Consider the following 17,096-nt stretch of genomic DNA (forward strand, 5'->3'; position numbering starts at 1 on the left):
TAAGCTTCTATTTCCTTGTCTGTAATATGGAGATAAAGTCAATCACAGTATCCACCTCACAGAATTGTGAAGATTAAAGGAGGTGATGGATGTATAGTGTTTAACACAGTGTCAGCAGATGAGAGGTGCTGTGATAGCTCTAGTTCTTATTATTATAGATTTCTGTTATGATGAAGACAATAGATACGGTATGAAATAAGAGAGTAATTTTTTTCCTGTTTATTTGAAATGCTTCTTTTAAATCACATACATGTATCTTTGTGCTCCTTAGATCTTTATTTCTTTATGAGTTGCATACTATTATTGAAAAGCAAGAAAATTATGTAAAAATACTGTATGACTTTATGTCCTATTTCAAAGCAGATGTATATTCAAGTTATTAAATTTTAAAATTTTTAACATTTTACTTTCTTGTGGTCTTAATTTATATATCATTTGGTTCATTTATATACAATTATATGTTTTTCAAAAGATTTGTAAATCAGAGTTGTGCCCACTGAAACATCTATATGGTACCCTCACACATGGCATAGGAACACTGATAGATGCAATGTGCCAGCCTCTGCCATGGCTAAAAGATGTGTTCCTGGAATCTGTATTTGGAAATGTAATATATTTTATTTAAAATTGTGGTTAGGTCCCCAGACTAGACATAAAACTTTACTGAACTCCTAATACTGCTGAAGTAATATAGAACAGTTTCTCATATTTAATTTCCCTTTTATAAATTCAGTGGAAGAATGAATTTGAGGTTCTACACACCTAATTGGCAGGTAGACTTTGGCAATCTAACCCCCTCTTTATATTAGAAATTTGTGATATTGGATGTCTGAGACACTTGCCACTTTAAGGTAATACCACTCATTATAATTGGTCATATAAAAAATAGACTAGACACTCACTAATTTATTTTTATTTTTTCATTTTTTGAGACGAAGTCTCGCTCTGTCACCCAGGCTGGAGTGCAGTGGCATGATCTCGGCTCATTGCAAACTCCGCCTCCCAGATTCAAGCGATTCTCCTGCCTCAGCCTCCCAAGTAGCTGGGATTATAGGCGGCTGCCACCACGCCTGGCTAATTTTTGTATTTTTAGTAGAGATGGGGTTCACCATGTTGGCCAGCCTGGTCTCAAATTCCTGACCTCAGGTGATCCGCCCGCCTCAGCCTCCCAAAGTGCTGGATTACAGGTGCGAGCCATTGCGCCCGGCCCTCACTAATTTATTTTTATAACTCCATTTCTTAAAACCTGTAGCTTTATTTTAAAAACATGATTACAATGTACTTTTATTTTCCTTCTTTTGGCTGTTTAGGTGTTTGGAGGCAAACCACAGGAGTCTCTTAACTGTGTGTAGTAGTAGTCCAAAGGTTTATGGCAAAGGATACTGGGTTTTCAGCGTGCTGCCATCATGGAATTGCTACTTTTAAGAATAGGGGCTGGGTGCAGTGGCTCACACATGTAATCCCAGCACTTTGGGAGGCCGAGGCAGGTGGATCACTTGAGGTCAGGAGTTCGAGACCAGCCTGGCCAACATGATGAAACGCTGTCTGTACTAAAAATACAAAAATTAGCCTTGCGTGGTGGTGGGCACCTGTAATCCCAGCTACTCGGGAGGCTGAGGCAGGAGAATCACTTGAACCCGGGAGGCAGAGGTTGCAGTGAGCCAAGATCATGCCACTGCACTCCAGCCTGGGCAACAGAGTAATACTCTGTCTCAAAATAAATAAATAAATAAAAATAAATGCATAGAATAGGAAGGGAAATGCTTTCTGAATATGAAAAGGTAGATGCTGCTTTGAAACTTGCTACCCATTTTATTGTCACCTAAACATCACTGTGATCAGTCTAGAGGGAAAGTCATAGTGTCCTTTTTTCTGTAAAGTATGTCACAGCCATATATACCTATGAAATGTAAGAGAGATTTTAAGTTATTACCCATTAGGAAGATAGTTGCTGACACGTGGTGCTTTTCCAAAAGCTCTGCTCTTCTCGTTCTCTTACACCCACTTGACTGCTTTAATAGAAAATAGCTTTCGTGATATTTGAATCAGTCCCAAAATGTGTCATTTTGCTCTCGTGTGTGTGTGTATTTGTGGATTAATGCCCATTTCTTTTATCTGATTACATCATTATACTGATAGGCAAAGATTACATGAGGAGTGGTTGCTAAGAGAGCAGAAGGCACAAGAAGAATTCAGAATAAAGAAGGAAAAGGAAGAGGCGGCTAAAAAACGGCAAGAAGAACAAGAGGTATGGTAGGAATCACGTAACTAGTGAACAAACTGATTACTTCACCATAATAACTCTCATGAAGAGTTGCCTATCTTGGGAGGTTGGAGTGAGCTGAGATCACGCCATTGCACTCCAGCCTGGGCAGCAAGAGCGGAACTCCATCTCAAAAAGAAAAAAAAAAAAGAGTTGCCTATCTTGAACTTAAAAAAAAAAAACAAAAAACTGATCTTATTCAGTTTGCCAGTGTTTTAAGTTTTTCATCTATGTGCGCTGTATGTGAAATGTTTTTAAAAAGTGACTGAAACAAAGTTACTTTTTCTTCCCCTTTAAAGAGAAAGTTAAAGGAACAATGGGAAGAACAGCAGAGGAAAGAGAGAGAAGAGGAGGAGCAGAAACGACAGGAGAAGAAAGAAAAAGAGGTGATTCCTGTCATGGGATGTGCTGTGTGATGAGTTTGAAGAATAATCAGTAGGCATGTCAGAGTTTGGGTTTTTTTTTTCTCTTTTTCTTGTCATTTCATTGTTTGTTTGGAAAGAATCATATTTCAGTTTAGACATAACACCAGAGTTCCCTTCTGATGCTCTTCTTCGGGTCCGTGCAGTGGCAGATTCCTTAAAGTTTTCTTCAGCTTTACCCTATTTACCCTTTATACTGGGCATTGGCAAATGTTGTAAAGGGCCAGATGGTAAATATTTTAGGCTTTATGGTTTGGTCTCTGTGGCAAACATCCAACTCTGCCAGTGTACCCTGAAAGCAGCCATCGATAATATGTAGATGAATGGGTATGGCTGTGTTCCAGGAAAGCTTTATTTACAAAACAGGCAGCTAGCCCTTGCTTTATAGCAAGTTATGTTCTTCTGAGGTTCTGCTGTATATGAGTTGACTTCTTTAGAGAATAATACTTTGTTTTGTTTCCACATTTATTTAGGTCATAAGAGAACTGCTTATGACATGTCAGCAAGAATTAGAGGATTTAAAGAAATCAGGAACTCAAATATTGAGGAACTAGGAAACAGTTTTTGTTATTTGTATTAAATCTTGACTTCCTCTTCCACTTAGGCTATGAAGATAATTGTAGCTAACACACAGTTGCTTATTTAAAAAAAAAAAAAAATCTGTGAGGCATATGTGTGTATGTATCTTCTCTATCTTCCAGGATTCTTTTTTAAGGATTGATTTGGTATGTTTTGCTGCTATTCCTTGACAGTATATTTATTTCAGAGGTATCACAGCTCATCTTCCCTTGACTGATTCATCAGGATTTGTCTTTTTTGTAATACAGCTAAATTTAAATAGCATAAAATTGGATAATCACCTTATAATTGGGAAAAATGCATGTGTCTTCATTGTAGTCAATATGGGGCAGAAGCAGCCTCCACGATCTTTGTTTTTTGTATCTTAGGCCATCAGTTAATTTCAGTGCAGATTTTAAACACCTTTATTTGAGCACTTCTTTCCAGATGAGGCAAGTTCATGCTAGGTTTTTAGGGGGCAGAAAAATTGTTTGGAACTTGTCATTTTTTTATAGAGAGGAATTAATTCCCATTTTAACAGTAGAGTGTTCCTCAACTGAGGTCTTTCAGGAATTCAGTAACAGCTAAGGCCTCTTTTGAATGCTTTTGTTTCAGAGGAAATCTGTGAGACTTCAAGGAGAAATGAGGGAAATGAAATAGATTCTAAGCTTATAAAAAAGAATCAGCAGTATGTGTTCCTGCTGTATGCTAGACACTTCGCTAGCGGACAGAGACAGAGCAGTGAAAGACACAGTCTTTGCTCTCATTGAGCTAGTTTTTTATATGGGAGTGTGAGATGATAAGCAAAACAGATCATTCAAAATGTGATCATATTAAGTGCTATAAAGAAATAAAGCAGGCCAGGCGTGGTGGCTCACGCCTGTAATCCCAGCACTTTGGGAGGCTGAGGCGAGAGGATCACGAGGTCAGGAGTTCGAGGCCAGCCTGGTCAACATGGTGAAACCCCGTCTGTACTAAAAATACAAAAAATTAGCCAGGCGTGGTGATGGGCGCCTGTAGTCCCAGCTACTCAGGAGTCTGAGGCAGAAGAATCACTTGAACCGGGAGGCAGAGGTTTCAGTGAGCCAAGCTTGAGCCACTGCACTCCAACCTGGGCAATAGAACTAGACTTCGTCTCAAAAAAAAAAAAAAAAAAAGAAAGAAATAAAGCAGAGTGATGTGATAGAGTAATGAGAATAGAGTTGTGCTTCTATAGATTGCCTGCTCAAGGAAATTTCTGAGGAGGTGATGTTTGAGCTGACACCTGAGTGGAGAGATCTCAGCAAGAAGAAGCCTGAAGCTTGAAGGCTGAAAAAAGGCCAGGGAACCTGAAATCTAGAGTCCAAAGGAGAGAAGGGCAGTGGAGGAGGTTGCTGAGGGAGAGGGGGCAGTGGAGGAGGTTGCTGAGGGAGAGGGGGCAGTGGAGGAGGTTGCTGAGGGAGAGGGGGCAGTGGAGGAGGTTGCTGAGGGAGAAGGGGCAGTGGAGGGTAAGCAGAGTCAGATCATGTAGGGCTTCCTGGATTTGAAGGAGGAGTTTGGATTTTATGTTTCCTATAATGGGAAGCCATTGAAGGGGTTTAAGCAGGGAATGACTCTGTCTCATTTATATCTGTACCTTTTAACAGATCATTCATTTAAAAAAAAAATTTTTTTGAGATGGAGTCTCATGCTGTCGCCCAGGCTGGAGTGCAGTGGCGTGATCTCTGCTTACTGCAACCTCTGCCTCCTGGGTTCAAGCAATTCATATGCCTCAGCCCCCCGAGTAGCTGGGATTACAGGTGCCTGCTACCACGCCCAGCTAATTTTTGTATTTTTAGTAGAGACAGGGTTTCACCATGTTGGCCAGGCTGGTCTCGAGCTCCTGACCTCCAGGGATCCACCCGCCTCGGCCTCCCAAAGTGCTCGTGTGAACCACTGCACCAGACTTTTTTAACAGATCATTTTTACTTTACTGAAACCTCTGCCTCCCGGGTTCAAGCGATTCTTCTGCCTCAGCCTCCTGAGTAGCTGGGACTACAGGCGCCCATCACCACACCCGGCTAATTTTTTGTGTTTTTAGTACAGACAGGGTTTCACCATGTTGACCAGAGGACAAGGAGAGAGAGAGGAATTCAAGTCATATTTTTAGGTTTTTAGTTTGAATAGACAGATAGACTGGCAACACTATTCACTGAGGGAGCATTCAGGTGGATGTGGGCCAGGGAGTGTAGAGGACAAGAGTTCTGTTTTGAGCACCACAAATAAGCAACTAGACATACGAGTCTTATGTAATGCTTTAAGGGGCTAGGGAAGATAAGACTGTCTGTTAAACATAGGTACAACTTGTTCAAATGCCAATTAGGTAGAAATTTACTGGCATATTGCAGAACCTCCTTTGCCTTATTAAAAAGTTAGAATTTTCTCCTAAATGCTAATTACCACTGGTCATGTCATATTTTAGCTTCTGCTAAATGTTTATGATTTCATCTAGCATTGTTTTTTGGGTTTTTTCGTTTGTTTGTTTGTTCGTTTTTTTTTAGACAGAGTCTTGCTCTGTCGCCTAGGCTGGAGTGCAGTGGCGTCATCTCGGCTCACTGCAACCTCTGCCTCCTGGGTTCAAGCGATTCTCCTGTCTCAGCCTCCCAAGTAGCTGGGATTACAGGCACGTGCCACCACACCTGGCTAATTTTTGTATTTTTAGTAGTGACGGGGTTTCACCGTCTTGGCCAGGCTGGTCTAGAACTCCTGACCTCAAGTGATCCACCCGCCTCAGCCTCCCAAAGTGCTAGGATTATAGGTGTGAGCCACCATGCCCGGCCTAGCATTGTGTTTTATATTCACTAATACCCCCTTTTACGAACTAGGACATGGTATATATACTCAAATATACTAAGTATTACTATTATTGAAACTATTATAAGACTATTTTAAATATTTTGCAATGTGATCTGGTAAATTTTCTATTTGAATAGAACGTCTCAGCTATGGGCCGGGCACGGTAGCTCATGCCTGTAATCCCAGCACTTTGGGAGGCTGAGGCGGGTGGATTGCTTGAGCTCAGGAGTTCGAGACTAGCCTGGGCAACATGGTGAAACTCCGTCTCTACAGAAAATACAAAAGTTATCCAGGCGTGGTGGTGTGCGCCTGTAGTCCTAGCTACTCGGAAGGCTGAGGTGGGAGGATCACTTGAGCCTGGGAGGCGGAGGTTGCAGTGAGCTGAGGTCACGCCACTGCACTCCAGCCTGGGTGACAGAGTGAGACCCTGTCTCAAAAAAAAAAGAGAAAAGTCTCAGCTATATATCCTTTGAAAGCTTTTCAAAAGATCTGTGATTCAAAAGAAAACTAGAACTTGTGTGCGTGTGTGTGTTTTAATTGTTCCACTTGAGATTCTTAACCAGAGAAACCAGATGTGACTTACCTGACTTCTGGGTTTTTATTAGTCCTGTGTTTGCACCATTTTAGGAAGCTTTGCAGAAGATGCTGGATCAGGCTGAAAATGAGGTATTTTTAAAACCTTACATTGATAATTTGAGACCAATTAATGTTTCCTTAGAAATAATAGTTCCAGTAATGTTAGTTTCGTGGTAGGTTAGTTAGATCATGTTTGGATATCTGGACTCATGTTTATGATGCTTTGATTTATACAACAACAACAAACTTTATTGATGAACAAATACAAATGGTATTCATGACCCCTGTGGACTGGACCTGTTTAGAGTCCTTACAGTATGTTTAAGCAACATCACATACCGTTAGCCTCCAGTGGACGGTTTACCTTGAATCAGAGTAACTTCTATTTCTGTCTGTGGTGGTTCCCTAATAAGTTCTTGGACCCTTTTTTTTCTCTTTTTTTCTTTTTTTTTTTTTTGAGACGGAGTTTTGCTCTTGTTGCCCAGGCTGGAGTACAGTGGTATGATCTCGGCTCACTGCAACCTCCGCCTCCCGGGTTCAAGCAACTCTCCTGCCCCAGCCTCCCAAGTAGCTGGGATTATAGGTGTGCACCACCACGCCCAGCTAATTTTATATTTTTAGTAGAGATGGGGTTTCTCCATGTTGGTCAGGCTGGTCTTGAACTCCTGATCTCAGGTGATCCACCCACCTCGGCCTCCCAAAGTGCTGGGATTACAGGCGTGAGCCACTGCACCCGGCCTTCTTGGACCCTTTTTAGAATGGATGGAAACCTTGGCGACTGCCCCTGGTGGCAGTAGTGATACCAGATAAAGGAAAGTGACCAGGAGCCAAGAGAGACATGGAGCTCATGTCTCAGTACCGTTGTTTGTAAAGTCTTGATTGCCTGTTCCAACTTAAATGTTTGCATTATTAAATGAAACAATGTTTATCTTTGAGGAAAATATTTTAATATACTTTGAAACATTTCGTCTTTCATGGGTTTTTACTCCACCAGTAAAGTCATGGTTATTTTCAACAGTTGGAAAATGGTACCACATGGCAAAACCCAGAACCACCCGTGGATTTCAGAGTAATGGAGAAGGATCGAGCTAATTGTCCCTTCTACAGTAAAACAGGAGCTTGCAGATTTGGAGATAGGTAACTAATTTTGTTTTATCATGTCAGAATGAAGTGATTCAAAATGCTGACGTTTTTGAGTTCCCCTTTTGGGAGAGGCGCATGTTTCCATTTCAAATGTCCGTCATCAGACATCTGCTGCCTTCTTGCTGCTGCTCTCGTTTTCCCAGCTGATCATCCTCTGCTTTGACCATCCCTGTTCCCTCTATCCTTGTTCCCTGGGTGGGCTTAGCCTAGTTCTCTGAGGGTGCTTCCTTTGCATTCTGCATCTTTAGGAAGCCACTTTGCTTGTTGGTTTCTTCCTGAGCTTGCATTAGTCCATGGTGGACAACTGGGTTGGGGAAATAATATATTTGAAGAGCTTAGAGCAGCTTGGCTTTATTTTTTGAAGGGCACACACTGTCCCCAAAACAGGCTTTTAAAACTTGGCATGTGCCAGGAGTTCCAGGCTGCAGTAAGCTATGACCACACCACTGCACTCCAGCCTGGGTGACAAAACAAGACCCTGTCTCAAAAAAGAAAAAAAAAAACAAAACTTGGCATGTGTAAAGGGATATCTGTGAAAGACAGGATCCAAATGAGGAGAGGAAAAGTGTTTTAATTTCTGTTGTCAGTGAGTGTGCCCAGACTCAGGTACAGACCGTTGGGTTCAAAACGGGCTTCAGTGGCTGCCAGTTTGGGAAAGTTGCTTAAGCTCTGTGTGCCTTCGTTCTCTCATCTATGAAATGGGATTAAACATAGTCTCATCTTTCTGAGGGGGCTGTGAGGCCGAAATGAGCACACACACCCGTAGAACAGGGCCCCAGGAGTGCTTGCTGGCATTTTCATTATTGTGACTCTTGATGTTATTCTGTGAGACACTCTTCTTGTTCCCTGCCCCTTTTGGGTCAATGTTTTTGAAAGAAGACGTTCATGTGGAAACCTAGTGTTGATCTCTTCAGTCATTTAGCAAGTCTTCGAACACCTATTATATGCCAGGTAATGGTGATTTTTATAATTTGGCCTGTTTATTAATGAACAACTTAAAGTAGGTAAATAATTCCTAATGGTGAATGAGTCCATCTGAGGCAAAATCTGATAATTATCACCATATATTCTGCAGAAGAGAAGATCTAATCATAACCTTAACATCCTATTAATCCTGAAAAGGGATATGAATAGTAAAATTCAGATGTATTTAATCAGAAACCATATGTCATCTGTCAGCTTTACTTTATTCATAAAAGTATCCATGCTGTGAGGTTTTTTTCCTTCTTCTTCTTCTTTGAAAATATATCCTTCTCTATGGTTCTCTCCTTTTTCTTTTTGAATTTAAGCGTTCACACCATTTTTCATTTTTTAAGAACAGTGGTTCCCAACCCTGGATGCACATTAGAGTCATCTAGAAAGCTTTAAAAAATTATGTCCTACCTCAAGTTGAGTAAATCAGAATATCAGGGCCAGGCGCGGTGGCTCACACCTATAATCCCAGCACTTTGGGAGGCCAAGGCAGGCAGATCACTTGAGCTCAGGAGTTTGAGACCAGCCTGGGCAACATGGTAAAACCTGGTATCTATAAAAAAAAAAAAGTAAAATAAATAAATAATATATTTATATATATTTATATAAAAATATTATATAAATAAATAATAAGAATACCAGGGACTTGGGTGGCCTTAGTTTCAAAATGTCCTCAGGTGTCTCTAGTGTGCCCTAGGATTGAGAGCCACTAATGTCAAGTGTGTATGTCCTTTTGTATTTTAGAGGTGGGATTGCAGATGTCTGGAATGTCTGTGAAAAGAGTCATGGGATCTGCTAACTAGTAGAAAGCCTCCTCTTGAAAAACTGGGAACTAAGAAAAGGAAAGAGACTTTATTCCCTTTGATACCTTTAGAACCATTTCTCAGATATCCACTTTATCTAAACAAGAAATGGTAATGATTGGTGTAAAAAACTTCCCACCAAAGAAAAATGCACTGTGAATTACCTTTCAGAGACAACTGAGACTCCATGTAAGTTCACATTTGCATGGGTACTTGAACCAAATTGCATTTAAGGTTTTCCAGCTGCAGGATCCCTCATGTAGGATCTATCTCTAACATTTCCTCCAAATTTAAGACCCGTGGTAGCCTGATTCTTGATTCTCACCCCCCCCCCTTTTTTTTTTGAGACGGAGTCTCGCCCTGTCACCAGGCTGGAGTGCAGTGGCATGATCACAGCTCACCGCAAGCTCTGCCTCCCAGGTTCAAGCGATTCTCCTGCCTTAGCCTCTCGAGTAGTTGGGACTACAGGCGCATGCCACCACACCTGGCTAATTTTTTTTGTATTTTTAGTATAGACGAGGTTTCGCCATGTTGGCCAGGATGGTCTCGATCTCTTGACATTGTGATCCACGTGCCTCGGCCTCCCAAAGTGCTGGGATTACAGGCATGAGCCACTGCTCCCGGCCTAATTCTCCTTTTGTTGGGCATAAGTGAGAGGAGGGGAGATGTCTTAAACGATTTCGAGAACTTGGTTGACAGGCCCTACCTTGTGGGAAGAGGGAATGGCCCGTCATGCTCTCAGATCCCATCTCTCCTCAAGTCATTTCAAGGAAATATGGACAGTGGTCAAATTAGTTTGCGAGCATTTCTTTTTTTTATTTTATTTTATTTTATTATTATTCTTTTTTGAGACGGAGTCTCGCTCTGTCGCCCAGGCTGGAGTGCAGTGGCACGATCTCCGCTCACTGCAAACTCCGCCTCCTGGGTTCGCGCCATTCTCCTGCCTCAGCCTCCCGAGTAGCTGGGACCACAGGGGCCCGCCACCACGCCTGGCTAATTTTTTGTGTTTTTAATATAGATGGGGTTTCACCATGTTAGCCAGGATGGTCTCGATCTCCTGACCTTGTGATCCGCCCGCCTCGGCCTCCCAAAGTGCTAGGATTACAGGCGTGAGCCACCGCGCCTGGCTGCGAACATTTCTTACAATTTTCATAGGCATATGAAATTTTACCATCACAACTATCAAAGTATAACAGCAGTGTGGAGATTTTCATCATTCAAGTGATAAGTTGTGACATGAAATTCTGCGAAATTTGCAGTTACAAAATCCAGCACCATCCCTTTAGACAAGTAGACTGCTCTGTTCCCTTTTTATGGAGAGCCTTGGTGACTTGCTCCAGATCGTACAGCTGTTCTGTTCTGTCGTTAAGTTTTGTCAGAGCATCAGAGGAACACTTCCATAACCTCAGCATTTCTTTGGCTGGTTGTTTTTGTAATTAGTACAGAGTTCAATTCTAGAGCCATGCTGGAATTGGTATTTTTTGGAGTCACAGCTTTGAGGGGAATCTATTTGTTTTTCTCCTAAAAGGTAATAATTACTAATGGAAGGTAAAACTTAGTGGTCTATTTATACCTCACTTACTTCCAAAAGTGATTTAAAGAAGGTTCGTGATCTAGCACATTAAGTTAGAGAAAGTAAAGGAAATTGAAAGCAAGGAAAGGAAGAGAAAGTGAGTTATTTTCTCCAGGTTTTTATTTCTCCATATTTGAATTCATCTCAAGCAGATAGTAAGCTGTCATTCTTACCAAAAAGGAAGAATGAGTGGTATCTCTAGAAAGACAGAAATTTTCCTGGCACCAGATTCTAAAGGTTTCTCCCTTGGAATATTTTACAAAGACATTAAATAGGAAGGTGGACAATAACTTTAATAGATGCTTTATAACAGTTGCATATGTAATTTTCATGAGGATGTTTCTTACAGTGACCTTCGATAAATGATTGCAGCTTCACTTTAACATGCAATGCGGGGATTCTATGTAGGACAAAGGTAATGCGTACCAGGAGCACTTCCCTGAGAAGAAGAAAAAGAGGAGTAGTCAGTTAGCTATACCCGAGGGGGCATTTGGATACCCACACCATTTATTGGCCATCCTTGGCCTAAGGTAATATCCAACAACTGTGGGTTTTTGCAGCAAACTGACTTAAGTATCAGAATAATGGGTAAATATTATGCCCTAAACCAGTGGTTCCCAAATATGGCTGATCTTCAGGACCAGGTAGGGAGCTACTTTGAAAATATGGGTCCCCCACCCCTTGAGGTCTGATCAGATGGTCTAGGGTAGGAAGTAAGAAATCTCAGTTCTTTCCAGGTAATTCTGAGAACCACACAGGCTTGGAACCACAGCTTTAGACTGCCTTCGTAAATGTCACTTCTCTTAGCTGAGTTTTCAATAAAAGCTATAGGGCTGGCCTTTTGTATACACTTAGATTATAAGGACTGTCTTTAGGCCAGATGGGATTTTTCCCCAGACAGGGACTTTGGTTCTATTCCAAAACTGACAAATGCTTATTTGACATCCTGGGAACTAGGGCCAAGTTCATTCAGATCTAGGAATCCCTTGAGCAGAATTTTAACCTCATTAAATTAGTTCCTTGTTTAATTCTCTGCATGCTTCATACTTATAACATTTTGATTCACTGTTAGTGTTGCCAGTCAGGTTGAGTCTTTGCTCTTTGTTCTATCAGTAGTTGGGAAGAGGGATCTAATTACAAGGTCTCTAATTGAATAATCCAGGAGGTCATTTGGAAAATAGAAAATTTCACGTTAATGAACGTTGATGAAGCATTTCTGAGCTGAGCATGGTGTATGCTGGGCATTCTGTAAGCATTATCTCAGTAGGTGCTTAGATAGACATTACAGACATGGAAAGTGAGTATTATTAAACATTTAGTCATTTCAGGGCCATTGTTGTTTTTTCCCAACACGTCCTATTCTTCAACTTTCTTTCTTCCTAAATTCTGTGGACTCCCCTCGCCAAAAAAAAAAAAAAAAAAGTTTTTGTCTTACCAATTTTTAACTAGCAACCTAACCAGGAAAATTTTGTTTATTTGGAACCTTGAACTACATTTTTCCTCCACATTGTATGTTAGGAGAAGGAAGGAAGTAAGAAAGTAAACTCATATGAAGGATTTTTGAAATATTACTCAGGTACAGCCTGGTCAGCTTAGCCTTGGTCCAGTTTAAACTATGAAAATAAAATTGTTCTTCATAATGGTTGGCCACCTTCATTAAATAAGAATTAAATGATGCAGGTATGGTAGCTCACACCTGTAATCCCAGAGCTTTGGGAGGCTGAGGCAGGAGGATCACTTGAAGCCAGGAGTGCGAGACCAGCCTGGGCAACATAGCGAGACCCCGTCCCTACAAAAATAAAATTATCCGGGTGTGGTGGCATACGCCTATGGCATGCGCCAGCTACTCAAGATGCTGAGGCAGAAGGATCACTTGAGCCCGGGGAATTCAAGGTTGCAGTGAAGTATGATCATACCATTGCACTCCAGCCTATGTAACAGAACAAGACCCTGTCTCAAAAACAAATTGTATTTATTACACCCCATCGTGAACAGGCACCAGATTGTAGATTAATGCAGATGTCTTGGATCCCTCTCTTCCAAGCCATATGACTGACTTGGGCAAGTGTGCTTTTCTAGGTCTCAGCTTCCGTCTTTGCAAAGTGGTGAAAATACTAGCCCCCACTGTCCTAAAGGGATAAAAGGACCAGAGGGGAAAAATGTAAAAATGCCATGAAAGCTACAAGATGCTGTACACAGATCAGATTGAATTGCTTCATTAACTGGAAATTCTTGGATTACTATATTGTCTAAACATTGAGTCCACTGACGATTGTACAGAACCAGGATTGCATTGTTAGTTCCCACCTTCCTCTCAGCAGTCCCGCATGTGACATCTTCATGCCTGTCACCACATCCTGTCACACCAATCAGCGGGCCTTCTTTTCCCCTATGGTTCAACATGTATAGGCTTCCTGAACTTCATTCAAAGGCAGCTGAATGGTATATGAACTTTGAAATGTTTCCAACTTGACATTAAAACAGCAAGTGCCAAGTTTCAACACTTAAAAAAATCCTCTTAAGCGCTGAAACTTGGCATCTGAGTGGGGTTTATTATCTTTCAGTTAAGTCAAAACAACTAAATTACATGAGTTTCTATCTCAAAATTTAAAGCAAGTGTTTTTTTGTTTGTTTTTTGTTTGAGACGGAGTTTCGCTCTTGTTGCCCAAGCTGGAGTGCAATGGCACAATCTCAGCTCACTGTAACCTCCGCCACCCGGGTTCAAGTGATTCTCCTACCTCAGCCTCCTGAGTAGCTGGGATTATAGGCACTACAGGCGCACGCCAACACGCCCGGCTAATTTTTTGTATTTTTAGTAGAATTGGGGTTTCACCATGTTAGCCAGGCTGGTCTCGAACTCTGGACCTCAGGTGATTCACCCGCCTCGGCCTCCCAAAGTGTTGGGATTACAGGCGTGAGCCACCATGCCTGGTCTAAAGCAGTTGTTTTGTGAGTAATTTTCAACTATTGGCCTAGTGAATTTAAGCTTTTCTTTCATACGCAGATGTTCACGTAAACATAATTTCCCAACATCCAGTCCTACCCTTCTTATTAAGAGCATGTTTACGACGTTTGGAATGGAGCAGTGCAGGAGGGATGACTATGACCCTGACGCAAGCCTGGAGTACAGCGAGGAAGAAACCTACCAACAGTTCCTAGACTTCTATGAGGATGTGTTGCCCGAGTTCAAGAACGTGGGGAAAGTGATTCAGTTCAAGGTGGGCATGCGTGTGGAGGAGGGGACTGGTTTGCTTCACCCTGCAGTACTTAATGGCACAAGAGAGCTGGGACACAGGCTCAGCTGGGGTCAGGCACGCTAGCACTCTATAAATGTGACTTCCCTCTTTCTCTCTTTCCACCCCCTACCTTGTTGCCAATGTCACGTCAATACCACATGAAATCATAAACATATATTAGCATGGTATTTCCTGAATGCTAGGGGTCTAGATTGGAAAGGATCTTTCATTTATTTAGTAGCTTTGTGCTCCAGTTCTTTTCCAGCACATGAATTCTCTGTATCAGGTCCCCTGCATATAGCCATCCAGTCCTTCACTTAGAAGCTGCATGTGACAAACGGTGCATTCCCTTCCTTCCTCTGTAGGTGGCTTCCGTGTGCAGTGTGACACAACTTCACTCACTAAGTTTGTTGGTGCATTGTGTTGACAGTGCCGACTTAGCTTCCACCCAAGGTGTATGTTCTTTCTTCTGGAGCCACACAGGAACATAAATCTAGATTCCACCACCTAACCCCCTTCTTTTTTTTACACTGTTTTTATTCATTGGATTCTTTCAATACTGAATATAGTATTATACAAACCATGGTCTGTGATGCAGCATACTTGGTGAAAAAGGCATTCAGATGACACATAATTATTTTAAAATATTCCTTAATGCAAGGGTAAGGCCAGATGTAATCTCTGCTGCCCCCAGGACCCATTAGTTGAATTCTAATAGGGTGAAGCTTCCTGCCTTGTCTGTGATTTCATCAGATCTGAGCTGGAATGCCTTTGTTATGTTAAGGCAGGGAAATTGTCCCATAATTTGGGAAAAGACAGGAATAGAACCGTGATTTTTTTTCCTGCAAGTTGCAAATGATGATGAAAAGTTGGAACACCCCCCCAAAAATGAAGATATTCCTGACATTTAAGGCTATACTTCTATCAACCGACTTCAAGATTTTTAAAAATTCTTTTTATTTTTTTTTTCCTCCTTAACCTTTTGTTTCTGGGGCATATGCCTTCCTGTCTTCACATTACTTGTCAGCACAAGCAATAACTGCTAAAGTGGAACTGCCTGGTCACAGCCACACAATACCATGTTAGAAGCACTGGCCGAGGAGGCCATGTGGTTTGACTAGCCTTGTCACTTCTTCCTGCCTTTTCCTTATCCTGAAAGTGAGGGGACTGGATTACGTCAGTGGTTTTCCTCGTAGGGTTTCTTGATTATACTGCTTCTGTGAAGTGGTAATGGGAGGGCTGCTTTCAGAACTGCAGAGTAGTTAATGGAAATTGCACCCTTACTTGCAACAGGCTGCACCCACAAACCACAACCACCACAACGTATTTTTTCTTTTGTTTAGAGTTCTCTCATCCTGGCTTGCACAGCTGACATGGATTCCCGAGGCCTTTTATTCTTCCTTCTAAGGGTGGTGTTACAAACTGTCACTGAGTATGGATCCTGCTCGTTTTGGGATACCCTAAGAAAAATACTCTGGAACAAATTTGTAAAATTATAGATTCATTTTGAACATAAACGCTAAACACTAGTATGAATATTTGAGGACCTTTTTACATACTATTATATAAAAACAAATCAGATTTGTCATTGTTGAAGGCAAATGATCAAATATTTAACCTAACTAGTAATAGGAACAGTACATATGAAAATGGGATGATATTCACACCTATCAGGCAAAAAAATTATAAATTCTATTAATACCAAGAGTAGATGAGGATGTGTACATTAGTAAAACCACTTCAGAGAGCAGTTTGTCAATACCTAGTGAAGGTACGTGTAACCTATAAATTGGCACACTCCTGGCTATGCACAGTAGAGAGCTCTTTATACCCACAGAGACCTGTTTAAGAATGCTGACTGCGGTACTGTTTGTGGATGAAAAATTGGAAGCATCTTGAAAAACCATCATTCTAGAGTAGATAAGTTTTATTATTTGGTATATCCAGTATACAGTAGTTAAGTTTATGTGACTACATCTTGAAAAAAGAATATGGAATAAATACTATTGATATAAAATTTTAAAACATACAAAGCAACACTATATGTTGTTTATCAATACGTATTACCTGTTTCTTTGCATATGTATATATATGTGTATACCCATTATAAATAATGGACATTTATATGTATGATACATATGTGTGGGTTTTGGCATGCATATGATGTATGTATATATGCCTGTATCTGTGTATTTGTATTTGTGTCTGTGTAGGTCTATGTATGTATATGTGTGTTTGTGTTTGGAATGTGAAGGCTACACTCCTAGCCTGTGGAGAGTGTTCACCTATGTGATGGAGGAGGGAGAAGAATGGGATAGAAGGGCTTCAACTGAGTCTTTAATGTTTTACATATGTAAATATTCTCATTCAGAAGTGGAAAACGTTAGTGTTAAATCTGGGTAGTGCATATATAGGCTGATTGATATCTTCTGTATTTTTATGGATGTGTGAAACATTTCATATTTGTGGGAGAAAACAGACCTGGACCAACAGGGATCAGGCACGCTGCCATGTGCCAAGTACGCCTTAAATAGATGCAAGAGTCAGCTAGTATCTCTATTTTGCAATCTTTGATTGGTAACTACTTTGGGGAATGTTAGCCTGGACAAACAACATTTGATGAATGGCTGGTTTCTTTTCCTGAATTTTTTATGATAGCATTCTTCATTGCTCCCTAGGTCAGCTGCAATTTGGAACCTCACCTGAGGGGCAATGTATATGTTCAGTACCAGTCGT

General features: G+C 41.1%; 1 protein-coding gene across 2 annotated transcripts in view; it reads left to right on the forward strand.

Annotated features, from left to right (window-relative positions):
- ZRSR2 (zinc finger CCCH-type, RNA binding motif and serine/arginine rich 2) overlaps positions 1-17,096 on the forward strand; it is a 32,777-nt gene that overhangs the window by 11,065 nt on the left and 4,616 nt on the right. For both annotated transcript variants that reach the window (NM_005089.4, XM_011545589.4), the window contains 6 exons: positions 2,140-2,248; positions 2,563-2,649; positions 6,685-6,723; positions 7,652-7,770; positions 14,129-14,342; positions 17,039-17,094. In NM_005089.4, the coding sequence (NP_005080.1) occupies positions 2,140-2,248; positions 2,563-2,649; positions 6,685-6,723; positions 7,652-7,770; positions 14,129-14,342; positions 17,039-17,094 (624 nt within the window). The remainder of the gene's footprint in view (positions 1-2,139; positions 2,249-2,562; positions 2,650-6,684; positions 6,724-7,651; positions 7,771-14,128; positions 14,343-17,038; positions 17,095-17,096) is intronic.

This window comes from Homo sapiens, chromosome X (genome assembly GCF_000001405.40).
Source record: "Homo sapiens chromosome X, GRCh38.p14 Primary Assembly".
Classification (NCBI taxonomy): domain Eukaryota; kingdom Metazoa; phylum Chordata; class Mammalia; order Primates; family Hominidae; genus Homo; species Homo sapiens.